The 21,620-nt window shown below is 42.2% G+C and overlaps 1 protein-coding gene across 2 annotated transcripts in view, besides 3 other annotated features; it reads left to right on the top strand.

Moving 5' to 3' along the window:
* The window catches only part of GSDMC (gasdermin C), an 81,190-nt gene extending 69,635 nt beyond the window's left edge, over positions 1–11,555 (top strand). Inside the window, exons 15-17 of one of the 2 annotated variants that reach the window (XR_928340.3) lie at positions 9,808–9,942; positions 10,384–10,579; positions 10,676–11,555. The gene's annotated coding sequence lies outside the window, so the exon portion shown is untranslated. Of the gene's footprint in view, positions 1–9,807; positions 9,943–10,383 lie in introns of both variants that reach the window. The other variant, XR_928339.3, reaches the window with a different exon arrangement.
* Positions 4,059–4,232: a silencer, noted in NCBI's record as "fragment chr8:130725004-130725177 (GRCh37/hg19 assembly coordinates)". NCBI's record gives its function as "represses an EF-1alpha promoter that drives an FKBP-Casp9 reporter gene in an ReSE screen in K562 erythroleukemia cells {active_cell/tissue: K562}" and the evidence as "EXISTENCE:reporter gene assay evidence [ECO:0000049][PMID:32094911]".
* Positions 5,700–6,899: an enhancer, noted in NCBI's record as "CDK7 strongly-dependent group 2 enhancer chr8:130722337-130723536 (GRCh37/hg19 assembly coordinates)". NCBI's record gives its function as "activates an origin of replication core promoter dependent on BRD2, BRD4, P300/CBP, MED14 and CDK7 cofactors, with strong dependence on CDK7, by STARR-seq in HCT116 cells {active_cell/tissue: HCT116}" and the evidence as "EXISTENCE:reporter gene assay evidence [ECO:0000049][PMID:35650434]".
* Positions 8,872–10,071: an enhancer, noted in NCBI's record as "P300/CBP strongly-dependent group 1 enhancer chr8:130719165-130720364 (GRCh37/hg19 assembly coordinates)". NCBI's record gives its function as "activates an origin of replication core promoter dependent on BRD2, BRD4, P300/CBP, MED14 and CDK7 cofactors, with strong dependence on P300/CBP, by STARR-seq in HCT116 cells {active_cell/tissue: HCT116}" and the evidence as "EXISTENCE:reporter gene assay evidence [ECO:0000049][PMID:35650434]".
* Positions 11,556–21,620: the final 10,065 nt, after the last annotated feature.

Raw genomic sequence — 21,620 nt, 5'->3', positions numbered from 1 at the left:
GCTTATCCACCATGATCAAGTCAGCTTCATCCCTGGGATGCAAGCCTGCTTCAACATATGCAAATCAATAAATGTAATCCATCATATGAACAGAACCAATGGCAAAAACTACATGATTATGTCAATAGATGCAGAAAAGGCCTTCAATAAAATTCAACACACCTTTATGCTAAAAACTCTCAATAAACTTGGTGTTGATGGAATGTATCTCAGAATAATAAGAGCTATTTATGGCCAACCCACAGCCGATGTCATAATGAATAGGCAAAACCTGGAAGCACTCCCTTGAAAACTGGCACAAGACAAGGATGCCCTCTCTCACCACTCCTATTCAACATAGTATTGGAAGTTGTGACCAGGGCAATCAGGCAAGAGAAAGAAATAAAGGGTATTTAAATAGGAAGAGAGGAAGTCAAGTTGTCTCTGTTTGCAGATGACATGATTGTATATTTAGAAAACCCCATTGTCTCAGCCCCAAATCTCCTTAAGCTGATAAGCCACTTCAGCAAAGTATCAGGATACAAAATCAGTGTGCAAAAATCACAAGCATTCCTATACACCACTAATAGACAAACAGAGAGCCAAATCATGAGTGAACTCCCATTCACAATTGCTACAAAGAGAATAAAATACCAAATGCATCTTTCTTTTGATTGGTATTAATACATTATATCTTTTCTTACCTTTTTATTTTTAATCTCTTTGTGTCTTCATATTTAAAGTACATTTCTTGTAGAAAGCATATGATTGTGTCTTGCTTTTTCCCACATTCTGAAAATCTCTGCCTTTTAATTTGGATATTTAGACCACTTACATTTAATGGGATTCTTGATATGGCATGTTTAAGTCTATCATCTTGCCACTTTTTAAAAAAATTGCCCATATGTTGTTTCCTTTTTCTTGCCTTCTTTCGGAATGAGTAATTTTTTAAACAAATAATTCCTTTTTATCTTCTTTGTTGGCTTATTTGCTATAACTTTGTATTGTTATTTTAGAAGTTGCTTTAGGTTCAAGTAATATTATACTACTTCATGTACAGTATAAAAAACTTACAATGGCATTATCTATTTTTCTCCTTACAACCTTATGATATTTTTGACATATATTCTACTTGTACATGTATTATAAAACCTGTACTACATTGTTATTATTTTTGCTTAAACAGATTAGTTTGTTTAAAGATATTTAAATAATAAAAAATCTTATATGTTTACTCATGCAGTTACCACTTCCAGGGGTATTTTTTCAACTGCGTAGATCCACATTTCCGTCTGATATCATATTCCTTCTGCCTAAATGATGATGTCTTTTTGTATTTCTTGTAATGCAGCTTTGCTGGTGAATAAATTTGTTTAGTTTTCATATATCTGTAAAAGTTTTTCTTTTGACTTTATTTTAGTTTGATTTTGAAACTCATTTAAGGTAGGCATAGAATTCTAGGTTGATAGTTTTTCTTTCACTACTTGTACTCAGGGTTTTGAGATTCTTGTTCTGTGGGTTTACTGATTTCATCAAATTTGGACATTTTAGAGAAATATTTCTCCAAATATTTTTTTTTCTGTCTCCTATCACTCTCATTTAGGGACTCTAATTACCCTGTTTGATGCTGGATATTTTTGTGTTCCTATATTACAGAGTCTTGTTCTGGGACACTGTTAAGTTACTTGGAAACAGATTTTTTGGAGTGTTGCTTTTATGTCTTTTTTATAGGCTGGGCCAGAACAGTGTTTAGTCTAGGACTGATTATTTTCCACTACTGAGTTAAGAAGACCCTCTGAGTATTCTGTCTACTGCCCAGAAAATCATAAGGCTTTCACATCTAGGTTGGGGAAGAGACACTGTTTATGACCCTGTGTCTTAATATTTATATTATTTTAGTGGTTTTTCTGAGCTTTACAATATACACACCTAAATGTTCACATTCTATTTAGAGTTAATATGTTATCACTTCAGGTAAAGCATAGACGCCTTACCATCATTCAGGTCATTTTAACCTTACCCTTGGTATTATAATTGACATGTATATTATGTCTATTACATTGGAGACCTCCCAGACAATGTTAGAATTTTTGCTTTCAATCGTTGTACATATTTTTAAGAATTTAAGAGAAGAAAAATCATCTCTATATTTATCAAGTTATTTACATTTATGCCACTCTTCTTTTAATTCCAAAGTTTTATTCCTTTTGATATAATTCCTCTTCAGCCTGAAGAACTTCCTTTGGCAATTTTTTTCAAGCAGGTCTGCTGGTGACAAATCCTCTTAGCCATCTTTCATCTGAGAATGTCTTCATTTTAGAGGATTTTGGCCATGTAATTATAAAATCTGTGTGTTTATTTACTGAAGTTTTTAAATTTAAATCGACTTCTTATTTTGGAGGAAGAAATTTGGACAAAATGAAACTTGAAATCACTACCATAAATGGAAAATCAGTATCACTTGCTATAGATAGATGACAACAATAAGATACACAGTGAAAATAAAACATTATTAAAGTCTCTTTTGCCTCCCAGGCACTGGTCATGAAAGAAGCTCTCTCTTTGTAACAAGTTCCCTTTGAGAAACACTGGTTGGATGAATGGATGGACGGAGGAATGAATGAATGAGTGAATTAATAAAAACAGACTATTTCTGTCTTTTTACTCATTGAATAAAGATTTATTAAGCCCACATTCTGTGATGGGCACTGAACTATCTCTGGAGCGGCAATAATCATGGGACAGATGAGGTTTAGGCCCTCCCAGCACTGGCAGCTCAGTGTGAAGGAGTGGATCCAACCTTTACCTGAGAGTGGGCTTTGATGGGTGAAAGCTCGGGTAAGAGGCACACTTGAAAAGATGTAAAATGGAAGGGTTGTGAGAGATGAAGCTCTGTTGCCAATTGCTTTAGGCTGTCACTCCCTGTCTGCAGCATCCCGGGTTTTTCTCCCCTGCAGCTTGACCTCAGCTGAGATGAGTAGTGTTTGCTGCTTCATGTGATGTTTGGAATCATCTCTCAGTATTATAACTGTCTGCTCCAAACATCTTTACTTAGCATTTAGTGAGAGCCCGACCTTTTTCCACCCGAGGCCATTAGTTATATCAGTGGGCTCTGTGTGTGCTCTTAGTCAGAATAAATCCCCCCTGAGTCAGGGGCAATAGATCATGGGCTCCATCATTTATGGCCTATAAATTAAAGGGTGGTTGGGAACTCTGGCTTCTGTGCCTGGCCGCTCACTCCTTAGTTACACAGTGTCACTCTTTTATTGGGGGATGGTGGGGGCAGGCTGTTTGGTCTCCTTCTGAACCCCCTGAAAGACAGTATTTACTGGCTATGGAAATACCTTCACCGCATGTTTATTTCTTTGAGACACTCTGCCTCAAGCTCATTGGATCCTTGTTCTTGTCTCTGTCCGGAGCTGTCTGGGTATTTAATGGCCTTGGGTGGTATGCTCTCCACATTTCCAAGGCTCCTCAGTGACAGCAGAATAGGCTTTTAAAAGTCTCACCACACCCAGAGTGTTTGGGGTTTCATAATGGCAAAGCGTGGCTGTCTTCTGCACTCTGGAGGTTGCATTCCTGAGACAGGGCGTTCCTCCCTTTCACTGAGGCCACAAGGCTCCATTGATGGCTGGGACTGTCCCTTCCTTGCTCCTTGAGAGCCTCAGCACCATTCTTGGGGCTCCTGCCTCCCCACGGCCAGTCACATCACCTTTGAAAACAGACACACAGCTGTGAAGTTGTAGGTTTCAGGATGGCTTTGCTGTTGTAGGGAGATTGTTCTCAGAGACATCTCTGTCAGGTTCAGCTCTTGGAGCATTGTGCTGTCTCCACATTTGGAACAAAAGTGCTATCATGTAAAGCAGTTCTAGCAAGTCTCTGTTTAGTCCATAGTGAGCTCATGAGGATCCAGGGAGGAGTGAGGAGCAAAAGTGCGTGAGTCTGTTGCATTCGAGGGATTGCAGAGTTAAAGGCATAGCAAAGATCACTGATCCAACCGTTTACCAGAGGCCAGCCTCCTCACCCCGACATCCCTGACAGTTGCTCATCCAGCTTCAGTCTGAATGTGTTGGACCCTGCCTGGATCCCAGCCTTGGTGAGCTCTTCACTGCCAGCTGGAACCTCTCAGCCTCGTCTATGTCTCACCTCATGCCAAGCTCTGAGCCTCCCTGCTGCCCCAAGGCAGGAGAGTTTTAAGAAACTCTAGATGGGTAAAATGAAACTTAATTTCAGGTCTCACTTGGGTTGCCTGTCTAATATTTATCATCTGTCCAGTTATCTGGTAACTGGGATAAACTTTATCTTGATCCCAGCCACCTATCTCTCCCTTAGTCTCTATGCCCAAGCCCTTGTTTTCATAACATATCTACTTCCCAGACCTGCCTTGCCCTCATGGGATCTTCCTTTCCAGGATTTATAGCCTTGTCCTGGAGCTGCAGCCCAATGATTCGGGTCTTGGTGGCTGATGATGGACCTCCTAGATATAGACTTGTGTAGAGTACAACTTGCCCCTGTTTTCTTGCTGCTTTATATTCCTGTGACTGCTGGTAACCCTGAACTAGAACCCATCATAGGAAATAGGCCTAGCACCAGAACTGGCCTGCTGAGTTAGATGCTTTTCTGGGAATTGTAGCTTGGCCCATGCACGAAATGTTTAATTTCAAGTCTTAGACTATCCTGGACCATCCATCGGTCTGTATCATCTAACTGCTGCTAATCATGATATTCCTGTATACCTATTGAAAAATAAAACTTCTAAGGTAGAAATGTATTCAATGATAAAATATGCCACGTATTGAATAAGTACTACATGTTAGACACTTTGCTATGCATTTTGCATGCATTCTATCCCCCAAAGCCTATGAACTAGGTATTATTATTGTTATTATTATTCTTAATTAATTAAGATGTTTATTTTTTGAGATAGGATCTTGCTATGGTGCCCAGGCAGGCCTCAAACTCCTGGGCTCAGGTGATCCTTGTGCCTCAGGCTCCCAAGTAGCTGGTACTGTGGATGTGTGCCATCATGCCAGGCCCTTTTATTATTATTTCTAGTAGCATGCTGTGACTCTTCAGAGAACAGGCACTATAACTGGACTACCTGGATCGAAATCCCAATTGTGCCTCGTTTTAGTTGGGTATCTTGGATAAGCTGCTTGGTCTCTTTGTTCTTCAGTTATCTCATTCATAAAATGAGGTTAACTAATGATCACTTCAAATGGTAGTATGAGGACTAAATCAGTTGATGCGTTTAAAACATTTAGAACAGTGCCTAGTGGCCTAGAGATGTCAAGTAACTTGCCCAGCGCACACAGTAAGTGGCAGAACTGGGCTTGCAGGAAGGACCCTTTGGTCTCTCCTTTTGTATCTCATTGTGCCCCCTCATCAGCCTTGAAACCCCTGGGTTTGGGTTGGGTCACCTCTTAGATGGCAATTCTTTGCAACGGTCAGCCTTGCTTTCCTTAGTCTTGAACTCATCACACTTCATGTGTAAAGACCATGTTATTAATCTGCTTATCAAGAAAAAATGGTCTCTGTTTTGTCCTAGCTAAGATAATGGAACTGACTTTTGGAATACTGGGATCTGGTAGGAGGCTCTGCTCCTTCCCAAATGTGTGATTTTTGGTAAATCAACAAATCTCTTCCACCTTCAGTTTTCCCATCTGTAAAAGAAAGAGAATAAATTCTACCTTGCAAGGCTGCCATCAATTCAACTAGATGACATGGATAAGAGAGTGGATGTGAAGTAATTTTGTTAACTTCAGTTTTCTCATTTGTAAGGTGGCATGATTGTACACGCATGTAAAGATCAAGTGAAAAAATTCATGTAAAGAGCTTAGCATACCACCTGTCACAGAGTAACTACTCAATAAATGCTACTATAATCATCATCACCAACACCAGCAGCATGTCCTAATCAAATGTAAACAAATATTTGGTTGTTTTCCTTTGATAAGGGGTTTCAGCAAAGGCATCCGTCCTAGACCTTCCCCTCCTGGACAAGATGGTCCAGGAGGAATGCATGAATCTGCAAGACGGCTGCCCAGCATTAGGGCATGTGATATGGTTGTGAAGCAGATTTTCCCTCTGCCTGCAGATAACTAGTCTCTAGGGGGCCTCAAACTTGTGACCCTGTCTTCATTAGCCATGTGAATTTGCTGGCCTCGTCTGCCCTTGGTAATAATTCCTGCCAGGTCACAAAGAATATCTTTCCCCCATGAGCCTTGGGTTAATAGCAACCTTTGACCCTATTCACTTAAAAGGTAATAAGCAACAGAAGCATTCATTCATCCAGCAAACATTTATCAAGGGACATTCTTGAGTTTCTTAGTTCATCATGACTCAGTATGCCTGCTGCTGACTCTTTCAGGCTGTCACATTCTTCTCAAGATAAGAACAAAGTCAGGTATTTGAATTTTCCTTGTATTTGGGCCATTCGTCACCTTTTCTCTTCTCTCCACACCCAATCGAATCAGGAACTCACATTAAAAGGGCTTTGAGCTGATGACTCTGAAAAAGCCCAGGACCCTGATTCCCCTTCTTTTATGATCCCATTAGCAGGCTGATGGTGACGACCATGTGAACACACCAAACACAAGAAAGCATCACTGACAAATGCAGAACACATGTTGGCCGGTGCAAGGATGTGGCACTTCCTTTATGCCGGCAGGTCTACTTAATTCAGTTCAGTCCAGCAAGTTTTGGGTACGTGCCCATTTGCTCATTCATTCAATAATTCATTCATTCATCAAAATTTCTTTGAGTGTTGTATACAAGCACTGTACTGTGCTGCATGCTAGACTGGAAACAAAAGAAATCTATAATGCTCACCCTGCTGGCATTCTAGTGGAAGATACTGTTTGCATTTGCAAAGCACCCAGAAAAAAAATACGTGCATGAAGAGAAGAAAAAAATAGTATTTACTTCATTTATCATTTATGCTTGCATTCATTCATTCAACTTGTTAATTACCAACTGTGTGTCATGCACAATGCTAAATGCTGGTACCCAGAGATGAACAACAAAGACATAGTTTCTACCATCACAGAAACTTGAAAGACCACCTTAGATGAGATGATCAAAGAACACCACAATAAAGCTGAGACCTCTATGGTGAGAAAGAACTAGCGCTGCCGCCAGTGGGGAAAGGTCATTTCAGACAGAGGGAAGAGCATACGTGAAGCCTTATTGTAGGAAAGAGATTGACATTTTTGAGGAGACATTTTGAAAACAGGCTAATGGGGTTGGAAAGTAATGATGGAGGGGAAGGATGACAAGAGATGAGGACAGAGAATTGGGAAGGGGTCAGATAATGCAGAGAGCCTTGGCAGGCCATGATGGAAGTGTGGAGATACATAGCTATCTATCTCCATATCTATCTATCTATCTATCTATCTATCTATCTATCTATCTATCTATCATCTATCTATCTATCATCTATCATCTACCATCTATCTATCTATTATCTATCTATATCAACTATCTGCCTATCATCTATCATCTGTCTATCTATCATCTATCTATTATCTGTCTATCTATCTATCATCTATCATCTATTTATATCTAGCCATCTATCATCTACCTTTTGAGGCCAAAAGGAAACTTTTTAAAAGAGTTTGAAGCTGAACACTGTCGTAATTCAATCTACTGTGTGCCTCTGATGTGTCAGGATTTGTGCTGAAGACTCTGATGATAAAGTAAACAAACACTACTGAGACTTACTGAGTTTAGAAATTCCTCCAGTGCCATTCATCCCTTTTTCACAGTAGCATTCAGCCAGCTGAATGTAACCAATTGCTCCAATGTGTGGGATAGATAAACATTAAAAAAAAAAAAAGAAGGGGGAATTCAGTGACAGCTGGAAATAGAAGTGCCATGGATGGGGTAATATTTGTTCAGGACTTTCTTGGACACAGACAGCAGGAATACTTCTGAACAGGGAGATAGAATATACAAAATGAAGGGGGACGTGTAAGGAAAAACAAAGAGAATACTCCCTTCTTCATGTGTTACCTCGTTTAACCTCCACATCTCTTTGAGGAAGGCATTATTTCCCCTATATTCAGATGAGGAAACTGAGGCCCATAAAGGTACCTAGCCAAGGACACTCAGCCAGTAGGTGGCATGGGCCATTGTCCAGAGTTGGAAAGGTTTTCAACATCTGGCTGGTGAACCAGAGAGAAAACCAATGGTTCACCTACAGCTGAAGAAGACTTGGTGCTAGAAGAGGCATTTCAGCTGTTTTGTTTGCTGTTAGTTAAGGACGGCATTCCCAATTTCTATCTGGCAAGGCTTGAATAAAGTCCAGGAGTGGGCCCTGTCCTAGGAGAAAACCCACTTGGCTGCGTGGCCAGTGCCGAATCCATTGCCCCTGACTTCCGTTCCCATGACAACTATCACCAATGTGAAAGATGGCCCTTCTATGGCTAGCAGTGAAATTGCTCAGGCCTCAGAGTCCTGGTGAATATAAGAATGTTGTCTTGGCTATTTTTCCCTTTCTGGGTTCTAGGAGGTTCCTTAAGGCTGAGTGTAGGAGGACTGTAACTGCTTTCTTTTGCTTCTCATCCCAAACTACTCTCTGAGTCCTGCAGGGAGACAGAGCCGCATTTGCCATTTTCTCTGCAGAGCCTGGGATGCTTTTCTCCTTGCTAAGGCAGCTCCCATAAGCAACCAATCTGCCCTCTTTACCTGGCCTAACTAGCCTGGGTCTTTAGGGCTCTGGACTCAGCATCTCAGTCAGCCTTCAGGAACTGTTCCCTTGGCTGTGAACTCTGGGGCCCCTCTAAGCAGAGCCGGCTTTATGAGCTTGTCCATGACTCATTCTTGGCTTAATGCCCTGCTGCCACAGTCTTAAATTCTTAGTCTTTTTATCTTTGAACTTACGTTTTGTAAGTGGAGTCCAACGGGACAGTGAAGCACACACTTGAACAGAGGAGAGATGCACAGTATGGGTGTCCACAGTACCTCACCATGCCATTCACACTGGGACATTCATGATGCCCAGGAGCACAGAACTCTGGTGGACTCACGATGCCTGGGAGATCAGCATGACTTAAAGTGCATACAAGACAGGCCATTTGGACTAGAGCTTACTCTGAGTGCGAAAAGAAAGCAATGGCATTCAAAGAAGCATGAACCACCAAAGAATTCTATCCTCTTATCTCTGTTTTTATTTGTGCTATTTCCTTGTATTAGTCAACCACTTATGCCAAGAATGATGGTTGATGAAAAGCGAAGATAAGATGAGCCATAGCTTCCTTTCCTTGAAGTCTTTCCTTACTCATCAGTAAACCAAAGGTAGAAAGCATTGGTAGAATATATGTGTATCAAGAAATGTAATAAAAACATTTGTGCTGTTTCCATTGTTCTGGTAAGAATAGCTTTGAGCTGTTTCCATTGTTCTGGTAAGAAGGAAATACAGACTACCAATTTTGAATTATATAATTTTGGTGATTCTGCATTTGAGTTAAATGCTCTTATATTTGCATTTAAAACTGGCATGGCACAATATAAAGAAGAACAGTAAAATTAATGGTACTTACATTTTTTCCTTAGAATGATATTGAGTAACAAATACAAAACCCTCACCATGCCTAACTGAAAAAGAAACCATGAAAGGAAGAAAAAAATCTTCATATTTTAGTTCCTGTGAGGGCATGTTTTCCCTGCATTTTGAACAAGAGGCTCTATATTTTCATTTCCTATTGGGCCCTGCAGATTGTGCAGCCATCCTTGCATTCAGGGCTTATCCAATCAAATATTTTTTAGATGCCTGATCAGCACCAGCCACATTACTTATCTGGGCTTTTTTTTTTTTTTTCTATCCAGGCTGAGAATATGGCAGAGCTTGTTTTGGTTCTTTCCATCTGATCACTTCATCCTTCCAGGCACTGGGCATCCAGAGTTAAATAGATGCAACCCCTGCTGTGGAGAAGCTTACAGTGCCGTGAGAGGAAGTGACAGGTAATGATGGCTGGGGAGCACAGAATGGGGGTACCACCATGTCTGGAGGAGAGAGAACACTTTATTATTAAATATTCTCTATTTTCCAGAACCTAGCACAGTGCCTGGTACACAGTGAATGCTCCATAAACGTTTAATAAATGAACAAATGGTGTAATGCACACAAGTGCCCTATTGACAGCTGAATACTATGGAAATAGTAGGATGTTCATTAATGGTGGGGGAAATACAGGAGGTAGAGAGAATATGGCTTTCCAAAGGTCAGCTGGAGCAGAGCAATGTAGCCTCTCTTCTGTCCTCATGAGTTTTAACTGATATTTTTCCTCCATGAACTTTTTGGGGAGTTGCTTCTGTGCTTGTAGCATGGGGTTTCCATCTTGAGGATGAGGAATGTTGCCTAAAATCAAATGCCTGCAAGTGATTCCATCATTCCTTCCACAGATATACACTGAATGCCTGCTAAGTGCCTGGCTCCATTTTTGGACTGGAAATGGCAAGTATCTGGGCCAGGAAAGGACTTTAAAGTCATTGAATTCAGTAGTTCTCAAATACAGACCCTCAAACTGGTGCTGCTCGGCGATATTTTCACTGCTTTACAGAAAAGTGAGGAAAAGAGAGTGATGTTTGGAAAGCCAAGGTTATGACTTTAAAGCATTTCCTTTCTTCTGAGATCATGTTTTTCCTTTTCTTCCCTTCTGTTAAAATGTGCTTTTTTTGATTTTTGTTTTTGCAGAATGACTGCAATAGTGGATGATAATTGAATTAGTGGTAATATCCATTGTTGGCAAAAAGTTGGCAACCCTCTGTAATTCCTCTGACTTTTTTTGGTGGAGAAAATTTGTATTGGTCTGAGAAATAGAAAATCTGGAATGCATCCACATCAACCAGTTTCAATTCCTCTACACCTGAGCCCCTCCTCCAGCAGCATCACCTTCCTAAACAGACACTAAGAGTCATCATTCCAAGGGCAAGGGAATTCCCTTCCTATCTTTAAATTTATTTTTAAAATTTCTTCATGTTAATTACTATTATTTCCCTATAATTTCCAATATCAGGTCACTGTTCATCCATATGAATATATTGATTGATTGATTACCTGATTGACTTTTCAACCAAGTAGAACCAATAAAATTTATTAAGCATGACCTTAGTGCCAAGCATCCTACCAGGACCTGGGGACACAAAGATGAAGATGGCAAAATAGCCCTTCCTATATTTGAAGACAAATTCTATGCCCCCTCTCTTCTACTCCTCCCCTTCACTCCACATTTCTCTGCATCCAATTAACCATCTCTGATCTTCAGCCCTTGATATGGTTTGGTTGTGTCCCCACCCAAATCTCATCTTGAATTATAGTTCCCATAATCCCCATGTGTCATGGGAGGTACCCAGTCGGAGGGAATTTAATCCTGGGGGTGGTTACCTTCATGCTGTTCTCGTGATAGTGAGTGAATTCTCATGAGATCTGATGCTTGGCACTTCTCCTGCTGCTGCCATGTGAAGAAGGAAGAAGGACGTGTTTGCTTCCCCTTCTGGCATGATTGTAAGTTTCCTGAGGCCTCCCCAGCCATGCTGAATTGTGAGTCAATTAAACCTCTTTCCTTTATAAATTACCCAGTCTCAGGTATGTCTTTATTAGCAGCATGAGAATGAACTAATACAGCCCCCTTTCATATAAGAAGGTGTTACTCTTCTACACCATTTGGGTCCATCTCCTTTGAATACTCTTCAGTTTATGTAAATTTCTCTTAAAATAGTTCCTCTGAAATTGAGATATACTGTGTGTGGTCTCATTAGTGGCGATTATACAAGGACTATCACCTCCACTATTATACTTATTATATTTCCATTAATGCAGCCTAAAGAATGATTACTTTTGTTTTGGCAGCTGCAACACATCATTCATTATAATAGTAATTGATTATATGGTATTTTCTATATGATAGCCAATGTTCTAAATAAGTTACATTTACTAAGTTATTTAATCGTTTTAACAATCTTATGAGTAGGTAGTTATTTTTATAGAAGAGGAAACTGAAGCACAGAGAGGTAAATGGTTTAGGCCTGAGTCCTTAGAAGAAGCCATGTCTCACAAATGGACAAAATGTCTATGAGAAGCAATGAAAGTGCTTGACTTAGACCCTAAAGCCAGCATGAGATTCCCTCAGGTTGGGGGAATCAAGCGGAATCTGTAGGTTCCACAGCAGTGAAGATTCAGGGAACTGAATACTAGGGAGCTGGCAAGAGCCACAGGAAAGGGTGCTGGGTGGTCGTCAATTCAGATGGGATCTGAGGCAGCCTGACAAAGGATTCCTGTGACCAAAGCTTGGCCCCGAAGCAGCAGAAACCTCCAGGTTGGAGGGCCTGGGGACCAGGTCATGGGCATCTTTGCAGTCCCCTGTGTGGCAGGAGATAATGGCCAAGCTTGCCTCCAAGTGCTTCCACACTGCATAAGACTCCAACCTTGAAGTGAGCATATTAGGGGGCTGTTCCAAATGATCAAGGTTGTGGCATCGGGGTTTAACATAGAAATTGTTTGTTTATAGTGTCATATTTGTGTGACACAGGAAAAAAGGAGGGAAGAAGGGAGGGGCAGAAGGAAAAAGGGACAGAGGGAAGGGAGGAGAGAAGGAGGTAGGAAGGAGGGAAGGAAGGAAGGAACAGGAGGTGAGGGAGAGGGGAAAAGAATATAAATCTAGCTTCCTCCTTTTGATGCCCCCTTTCTCTTGGTTCCCTCAAGGCAAGCAGTGGCCTCAGCTGTCTTACTGCATGAGTGAGTGAGAACAGGCTGTCCACAGACAGTCACAAGGAGCAAGGAGATCATTAGCTGCAGTGATTTATTGCAGGTCAAAGTGCTGCACTTTTGTGCCAAACACAGAAGCCCTTGAAGCCTCGTGATGAATTAGAAGCCAGATACTGTTAAGGGAGATGCTCAGGGCTGGGGAGCATCAGGGCTCACTGGGCAGCTGTTCTCATCTTTGCTGTAGATGACCAGCCCGGCCAATGTTTTTGGGTAGGTTCCTTCTTTTTGGGCCTCAGTTTTCCAATCTGTAAAATGTGGGGCTGAGCAAGATGATTTTCTTTTTGGGGGGGTATCATTTTTTTCTGCACTAACATTATTCTGTGCTAATTATTGTTAGTGAATAACACAACACTCTGATCTTCTACTGCATCTGTGCTCCCTTAACAGGACCAGCGATGGCAGATTGTGCTGTCCATATCACCTGGCTTCCTGTCATGTCCTTTTCTTCGAAGCCCAAGTTCATCACTGAGCCCTTGAAACACTGGCTCATTTCATGCACTGGGCTCTCGCCCCTCCATTCTCTACAACCAAATTCACCTCGCCTTCTTCTTCCTAGGCATCTCTGAGAAATGGATTAGAGGTTTTTTATTCTGTCTCGGAGTATGAAAACCTAACCTCTAGAATTAAGCATATCATAGAGAAAGGCACAGGTTTTCTTCATTTTTCCACTTTAGCCATAACCTATTTAAGACATTCATTTCACATTCAAGCTAACACAGCTCTAGCATGGAGTAGGATGCATGATCCATAGAAAACTTTAAGCTAAGACTGGAAACTTAAAGGAGCATCCTTTTTCCAGAAGGCTAATTTTGGCTTCCATGTCAGATTTCCATCATCATTGAATTTTCTCCTGCCATTTGGCCTACTTCCTTTGTAAACTCTGAAAAGCACTTACTTGCTCAATTTCTCCTTCCTGCCAGACCGCATTTGTGTATGACACCTGAGAACTTCTGGAGACCTTAAGACTCTCTCCCTTGCCACGTAGTCTTAGGGGACAAGGAGTCAGCTCAGATGATGGAGTTCTTTGGGGCCAAGGGTGGAGTAGGAGGGCGTGGGGTGGGCTAGGGGAAAAGCACTGAGGGTTGAGAGGAGAGCTGGGATCCAGAAGGCCAAGAAGAGAAATTCACAGGGGCAAGACAAATTTATAAAGGGTCCTCCTGCAGGCATACCTGTCAGTGTGTATGGCTTGGCTGATGGAATATAGTCAGGTGACCTGGGAGGTACAAAACCCACATTTCTGTGCATGGAGGCTGTACCAAGGGGCTATTGAAATGAAGATGCTGGAAGCTGGCCTGGATATCAGGGCAGAAGCAGGGAGTTCTGAGGGCAGAGGGCAGTAGGGCCACATGCTAGTGTTGGTCCCAAAAAAGTGGCTTTAAGACAATGGCCTAGAAAAGAAGAAATGCTTTCAAAGTGTGCTCTGGGGACAACCCACTTAAACACATCACCTGGGGATACTTGTTAAACATGCAGATCATCAGCCCCCTGCCTAGACCTAGGAAGGTGGGATTCCTATGTGTACTAAAGATTCCTATGTGTACTAAAGATTCCTATGTGTACTAAAGATTTGTACTAAAGATTCCTATGTGTACTAAAGATCATCAGCCCCCTGCCTAGACCTAGGAAGGTGGGATTCCTATGTGTACTAAAGATTTGAAAGGCGGTATTCCTATGTGTACTAAAGATTCCTATGTGTACTAAAGATTCCTATGTGTACTAAAGATTTGTACTAAAGATTCCTATGTGTACTAAAGATCATCAGCCCCCTGCCTAGACCTAGGAAGGTGGGATTCCTATGTGTACTAAAGATTTGTACTAAAGATTCCTATGTGTACTAAAGATCATCAGCCCCCTGCCTAGACCTAGGAAAGCGGGATTCCTATGTGTACTAAAGATCATAAATATGAACCTAGGAGGTTCAGGACAAAATAGCCTCTTCTGGGTGGTGTGGTCCAGCTCAGTTTAAAGAAAAAGTACAGGACAGAACTGAACTTTGGCTCAAGAACAGGCTGTCGTGGAGGGTGCTTCAGTCTTGGTGGAGGCTGGGAAAGAAGGGGCTTTTGACCCTGAAGAGCTCTGGGACTATCTCAGACAGCATCTGTGAAAGCACATGGCTTAGCGCCTACAACACATTGTAGGTGCTCCAGGAACAGCCATTTCTTTCCTTGCCTTCTATCTCCATGTGTGTGCAGGGATGACCCTGGATGTTTGCAAATTGGCCTTGTTTCCAGCTGTCCACAGAGCTCCAGGGGCATTTCTGCAGTCCTTGCTGTTAAACATAGCTTCCCCTGAGCAGCTGCCCAGGATCCTTGAGTCCCCCCTTCCCCACACTTGTGCAGACCAGCGGCACCCTTTCTCAGCAGACACCCCTGGCCTACTTCCAAGACACTGTGATGGATACGCCTCTTCCTGAAGCATGGTGCAGCATGGAGAGGTGATTTTGATCTTACTCCTCAGCTGGGCCCAGCTGTTTCCAGTTTGTGAAGGACCTTTTACTTCCAGCTCTTCATTTGTTCCAGGATAAAACTCAATGTTCACTTCAAGGTTTCTAGACCACCCAGGGTTTCTCGGGCCTTGTTGGAAGAGGCCCTGGAAATGCTTTCAGCTCTGGAGGCCATGTTATTGGGTGGGGGCGGGGTGGTATGGGAAGGGCTGCAAGGTTCAGCAGCAGTGGTGGGGCCAGGCCTGGAAAGAGCATGAGCTTTGGAGCTGGGCTGAGCTGGTGTGGATCCTGGCTCTGACTAGCTGGTTATCTTGGACACAGTGGTCCTTGGATATCAATCCTCAACTACGTTATGAGAATGACATAACCCTCTCCACAGGTTCTTGTGAGGATTAAATGAAATGATGTGCATGCTGGCAGTGTCTTTGCTTTGCCGGTAACCTTTGCAAAGATGGAAAAGTGCACTTCATTACCAGGATGAAAACCATACTATTTCATGACCATGCACGGAGACAGAGTTTAGAGGAAGGGTGAGAGGGAGCTCTCCTTCTCACGCAGGTATGGACATCCCTGAGGCCCTCTGCCATGAGCTATCTCTTTTATTCTTTCTCCCCCAGCAGCCCCATGACGCACCTCTCTGCCTCTGCCCACTCCCCACTAAGAGTTCATCCTCTGGGTCCACTGGTTCCATCTCGTTCTTCCTTGACATTTAGGCTAGGATGAGAGCCTTAGCTCATGTAAGGCCATTTTGCAGCTAGAGTCGGGGGCAAAGAGGGAGAAGGGGTAGGGGCATTGTAGGAGAAGACTTTCCCTTGACTAAGAGTGGAACATCTACACAAGAAATTTTATGTTTTTTTTTTTCTAATATTGATTACCTCCTGTTACTCAATTCTAGCATGTTATTATATTAAGCCTGGAAACACCCTCCCAGGAAAAGAATGGGAGGGATAAAAAGACTCCATCCTCTTACACAGGCTCTAGTGCAGTGCCCAGTAGCCATCACACTGGTCATCATCATAATATCTCCAAGGGCAGGTTAAGATTCTGAAGTTGGCCGGGCATGGTGGCTCATGCCTATAATCTTAGCACTTTGAGAGGCTGAGGCAGGTGGATCGCTTGAGCCCAGGAGTTTGAGACCAGCCCTGGCAATGTAGTGAGATGCTGTCCCTACAAAAAATTAAAAAATTAGCTGGGCTTGGTGGCAGACACCTGTGGTCCCAGTTACTCAGGAGGCTGAGACGGGAGGATCACTTAAGCTGGGGAGTTTGAGGCTGCAGTGACCTGTGGCCATGCCACTGCACTCCAGCCTGGGAAACAGAGCAAGACCCTGTCGCCAACGAAAGAAAGATTCTGAACATATTTCTCTAATTTACCAGTGAGGAGATGGTGAACTGGTGTGCTGATGACAAGGTGGCTTAAAACAGAGAACAGGTGGTCATCCAGGGGGTCTTTGATTCTCATGAGTAGGGGGTGGGAAGCGAGGTTGGGTAGAGCTAAGGTATCAGCAGGACATAGTAACAAATTAAAATATTATCTCTGGCAAATGATAATATAGATCTAAACTTTCAGTCCCAAACTCAAATAACAATGAGAAGTCAAATCCTTATAAATGGACAGTGGCCTGTGACCACCATTAAACAAAGCTCAGAAAAGCTGGATTCTTAAATAGTCAGCTCTTTGGGGGAAGGAGTGGAGAGAGCCAAATATTTTTAATGGTAAGAGTGATACGACTATTGAGGGCCTACTTTTGCAGCCATCACTTGAAATGAGTATGTTTATCTTCCTTTTCAAGATGGAGCAATGAGGCTCAGAGAGGTTAAGTAACTTATCTAAAGACACAAAGTAATTTGTAGAAACAGATTTCAAACACCAGGCCCCGTGCTCTTTCAACTCTATCATGCTGCCTTTCGAAAGAGATATAGTAAAAGGAAATAAGATTACTTTCTTATTCACCTTTGCATTTGTATTTGCTGCCGCAAACTTTGTGGCTTATAACAACATGAATGTCTTCTCTTATAGTTCTGGAGATCAGAAGTTTGAAATGAATCTTGAGGGGCTAAAATCAAGGTATCTATAGGGCTGAATTCCATCTGTAGGCTTCCTTGCCTTTTCCAGCTTCTAGAGGCCACCCACATCCCTTGGCTCATAGCCCCACATCACATGACCTTTTCTCCCTCTGCTTCCACTGTCACATCCCTTCTTCTATTTCTGACTCTGATCTGTTTGCCTCTTATAACGGCCCTTGTGGTTATATTAGATCCACCTGGCTAACTCAGGACAGTCTCCTCATGATCCTTAACCATATCTGCAAAGTTTTTTTGTCTATATATAAAGTGACATTCACAGATTCCAAGGATTAAGACATGACCATCTTTTGGAGGGGCATTGTTCAGCCTACCCCAACATGCAAGGAGAATTTTGAGTCAGTGCACTCTCCAGGGTAATCTCCTCCCCTTTTAAACTGGATATTCTGCACTGTTCAGTACAGTTATTAATTTGGAACGACCCTCAGAGCTTGCTACCTGATGATAATCATTTACACTTATTAAATGCTCACCATGTATCTGGCACAGTTTTAGGCTCTTTACCACAACCACAGTTAATACATACCATACTGCATGAGCTCAGTACTGTTATTATGTGCATTTTCCACTTAAGAAAAATATGGCATAGAGAGATTAAGCATCATGCCCTAGATCACCCACTTAGGAAGTAGCAGATGGGAACCCTGGCTGTCTGGTCCCAGAGCCTGTGGCCTTCACCATGAAGCCACCTTCCATGGCTCTGAGCTCCAGAAGGACAGAGCTGGAATGTTTTACTGACCATTGTACTTGCTGTGTATGTCTATATAGTGTCCAAGCACTTCTAGGAACTAAATAAACACACTATATTAATGAAAGCATAGAACATCAAAAATCAACAACTTGTTAGTTTATCTGAGTGTAGTAATTTATTGAGAGAAAAGGAATTAGGTATGTTAGAAAGATGATCGATCCCAAGAATTAAACGAACTGGCATTTTGCTTACCTCTCTAGTAAGCAGGAAATTAAACTTTTTCTCTTTTACTAAAAATTTCTATGGAGTATTTTGGTGAATAGAGCGTCTAGTGTGAAGTTCTCCCTTCATGTAGGTATAAGATATAAGATAAAAATATTCATTTCAAGTGTTGGCAGCAAGAGTACACAGTAGGCACTCAACAGTTGTATACTCTATCCATTAAAAATACATGGCAACCTCCATTCCTTACCCCAAAGAGCTGATTATTTAAAGGATCCAGCTTTTCTGGGCTTTCATCAATGGTGGTTCAGGTGCTACTGTCCATTTCTAAGGATAGTGTGAGATTATGATCATGACTCATGATGGGTGCTTAGGGTTTGGGACCTGGCCCTTTAAATCAGTGGGTAGCAAGGGTCCCTTGTCTCTCTTCTGTCTCTCATCCTTGCCTTTGACAACTGCTTATCCCTTCTCCCCTTGCCTCCTCCATTCCTGGAGGCTGTTAAGCCCACATCTGTTTACTTTGCTGCAGTTTGGGCCCAAGAACCATGTTAGTGTCGTGCTTACATGGGACCAACCCCAGGAGTTTGGGGCTCTAAGCTCATTTTTCTCTTTGAGAATCTCACAGCCTCATCTGTTCCTGGGGCTGTCAGTGGGTGATTCATATGATGAGAGAGAATGTCAGTGGGTGATTCATGTGATGAGAGAGCCGCAGTCAAAGACCCAAAAGTGGAAATGCTATGGGGCTTCATCTCTGTGTAAGCAGGTTTGTGGTCACATATGTGGGGTCACAGGAGGGGGTAAGGGAAAATGGGGTCACTCCAAGCAGCTTCTTCCAGTGAGGTCTGAGAGGTCCCCTCCTCTTCCCTAATGAGCTTTGCCTGGCCATGCCTTCTTTATTGAGCAGACACTCTCTGGAAAGATGCAAACTTTGAAGATGCTAATTAATCACACCTCTTTTATTACTTTGTTATTGACAAACTGGGAGATGAGACAGGGAGTTGGATGTGAAAAACAAATCAACATAATTACTATGAAGGCTACGTGGGGGAGCACTGCCATGCTGTAAACCCCACATCGTCATCTAAATGCTGGCAAAGCCCACGATCTCATTAGGAGGATCTCTGGGCCTCACCATTCTAGCGGCAGGGCTGGGCCTGGAACTTGGGAGTCCTTCATTTTCTACCAACGCTTGTTATATACCAACTTGCCCTTTTGCCATAAGATGGCTTAAATCACATCCAGTCCCCCTTGCTTTCAATGGGGTTCAGAACACAATATTCCCTGGTAGTATGTTTAATATTTAAGTCTTTATAGCTACAGGGATAGTGGAGTATTTAACAGGGGAGGGGACAGGGTGAAGGTACTGCTGGGTTATGTTGCTACATGGTTCTGGACTGAGAGGCTCCTCAAACCTCCATGTTTATTGGGGTTGTACGTTTGCCAAGTTGAACAACCTCCTTAAGTTGTACGGTGATATCGTTCATGTCCTGCAGATGGAGATGTTACTACATGTAAGAGAGTTTTAGACAGTGACTTGAAGTGCCACACCTCCCTTTCCAAAAAAAAAAGTAAGTTTTTTCTTGTTCCTTCTTTGAAAAATGGGGCAAGAGCTTTCTAAATGGATGTATATGTCCAAGCTTTAGGTAAGATTTAAAATGAATTTGAAAGAAACCATATCCTCTTCTCATACCTTTCCCTTCTGCTGGGTTCAGCAATATCTATGATCCTTTTCTCCTTCCTTCCCTCCCTCCCTCCCTCCCTCCTTCCCTCCCTTCCTCCTTCCTTCCCTCCCTCCCTCTCTCCCACCTCCCTCCAATCCTTCTTTCCTTCCTTCCTTCCTTCGTTCCTTCCTTCCTTCCTTCCTTTCCCGTATTTGTACCACTTTATTTATTTAACACATGGAATTTTAGAACAATTTAATATAAATTGAGAAAGGTGACATTTGTACTTGTTAATAGCACATATAATTTCATTTCAAAAAGTGTATAATAGAAAAGACTAGAAGGAAATCTGCCAAAGTATTGACAGTGGTTTCCTCCACTGGTAAGTAGGTTCATAAAGAACTTCTTTTGGTATTTTATTAATTTTATTTTTTAAAACTATTGTACAAAAATTTGACTTATTTTGGTGTACAGTTCTATGAATTTCAACATATGAATTTGCATAACTGCCATATGGCTGCTTTCTCTCCTCCTTTTACCCTCACCCGGCCCTCTCAGTCTTTCCTACTTCTTCTCCCCTCTCTCTGTCCATTCCTTCCTGCTTTCCTTGGCTGGCTTGTCTTTCTCTAAATGCCAGTGTTTCAGCTTTTTTACTTTTATTTTTTAAAGTAGGGACTCTATCCTAATGGTGTTCTTATTCACTCATATATTATCTTATTACCTTCATGCCAAATGGCCCCCAAACTATATCTCCAATCCAGATGTCTCGGTTCCACTCCAGATCCACTTGCTGCACACCTTTTGGACATCACCGGGATGTCCCATAAATAACTCAAACACTACATGTCACCAACTAAATTCATTGTTTCTTCCTGTTGTGGGTGTGTCTCTGGCATTCCAAATCTCTCTTAACAGGGACACTGGAAACCTCACCTCCCGAGCTGGAAACCTCAGGAGCATTTTTATGCTCTTTCTATTGCCTCCTGCATAAATCAATTGCCAAGTCCCGTGTGTGGTGTTGGTGTTTTAGGTGTGACTCTTGATCCATTGCCATATGTCTATCCTCATTGTCTTTTGCCTTAGTCTGGGCTCTCTGCCTTGCCATGGTTGTGAGCGTTCACTTTAAAAACCTCCTAATTGGTGTCTTTGTCTCTAGCTTCTCTTGTCTCCTATCCATCCTTCCCATGGCCAGCATGGGATTCATCTTCATCAAACACAGATGTGATATTACACTCTTGTGCTTAAACTCCTTCCATAGCCATGGGAGGGCGTTCCAGGTGCTAGCTAGAGCTTCCATGATGGCCCTGTGAAACTTTGTGAGTCTCATCTTCCTCTGCCCAGCTCCATGGCCCAACTCCTCTCTCAAGATCCACTACGTAAATGGGGCACCCCAACACTATGCTCAGAGAGCCCTTGCATGTTCCTCAAACCAGAAACCTTCCACTCTATTGTCAAGAATGAGTTAAAAATTCCCTGTTCTCAACTCTTCCAGGAAATTCTAATTGTGCTTTATTTTGGACTCTCCTGCATGCTGACCACAGGGAGGTGGGAAGTTACTCTCCAGAGGAGATGATCTGAACCTAAAGGACCTTCACAATATGAGAAATGTCCAAAAAATAACAGAATGAGATAAGGACCAAGAGAAAGATGGAGTAAGAAATAGAGAAGGAAAATGAAGGTTAAAAAACCAGAGGATGATGGTGAGAGCTATCACATGATACAAGGTGGTATATGATTCATCAAATTCAATCTTCACAAGTATCATAAGAATTTA

The sequence above is a fragment of the Homo sapiens genome, chromosome 8 (genome assembly GCF_000001405.40).
Source record: "Homo sapiens chromosome 8, GRCh38.p14 Primary Assembly".
Taxonomy (NCBI): domain Eukaryota; kingdom Metazoa; phylum Chordata; class Mammalia; order Primates; family Hominidae; genus Homo; species Homo sapiens.
This window is presented reverse-complemented; position numbering and strand designations above follow the sequence as displayed.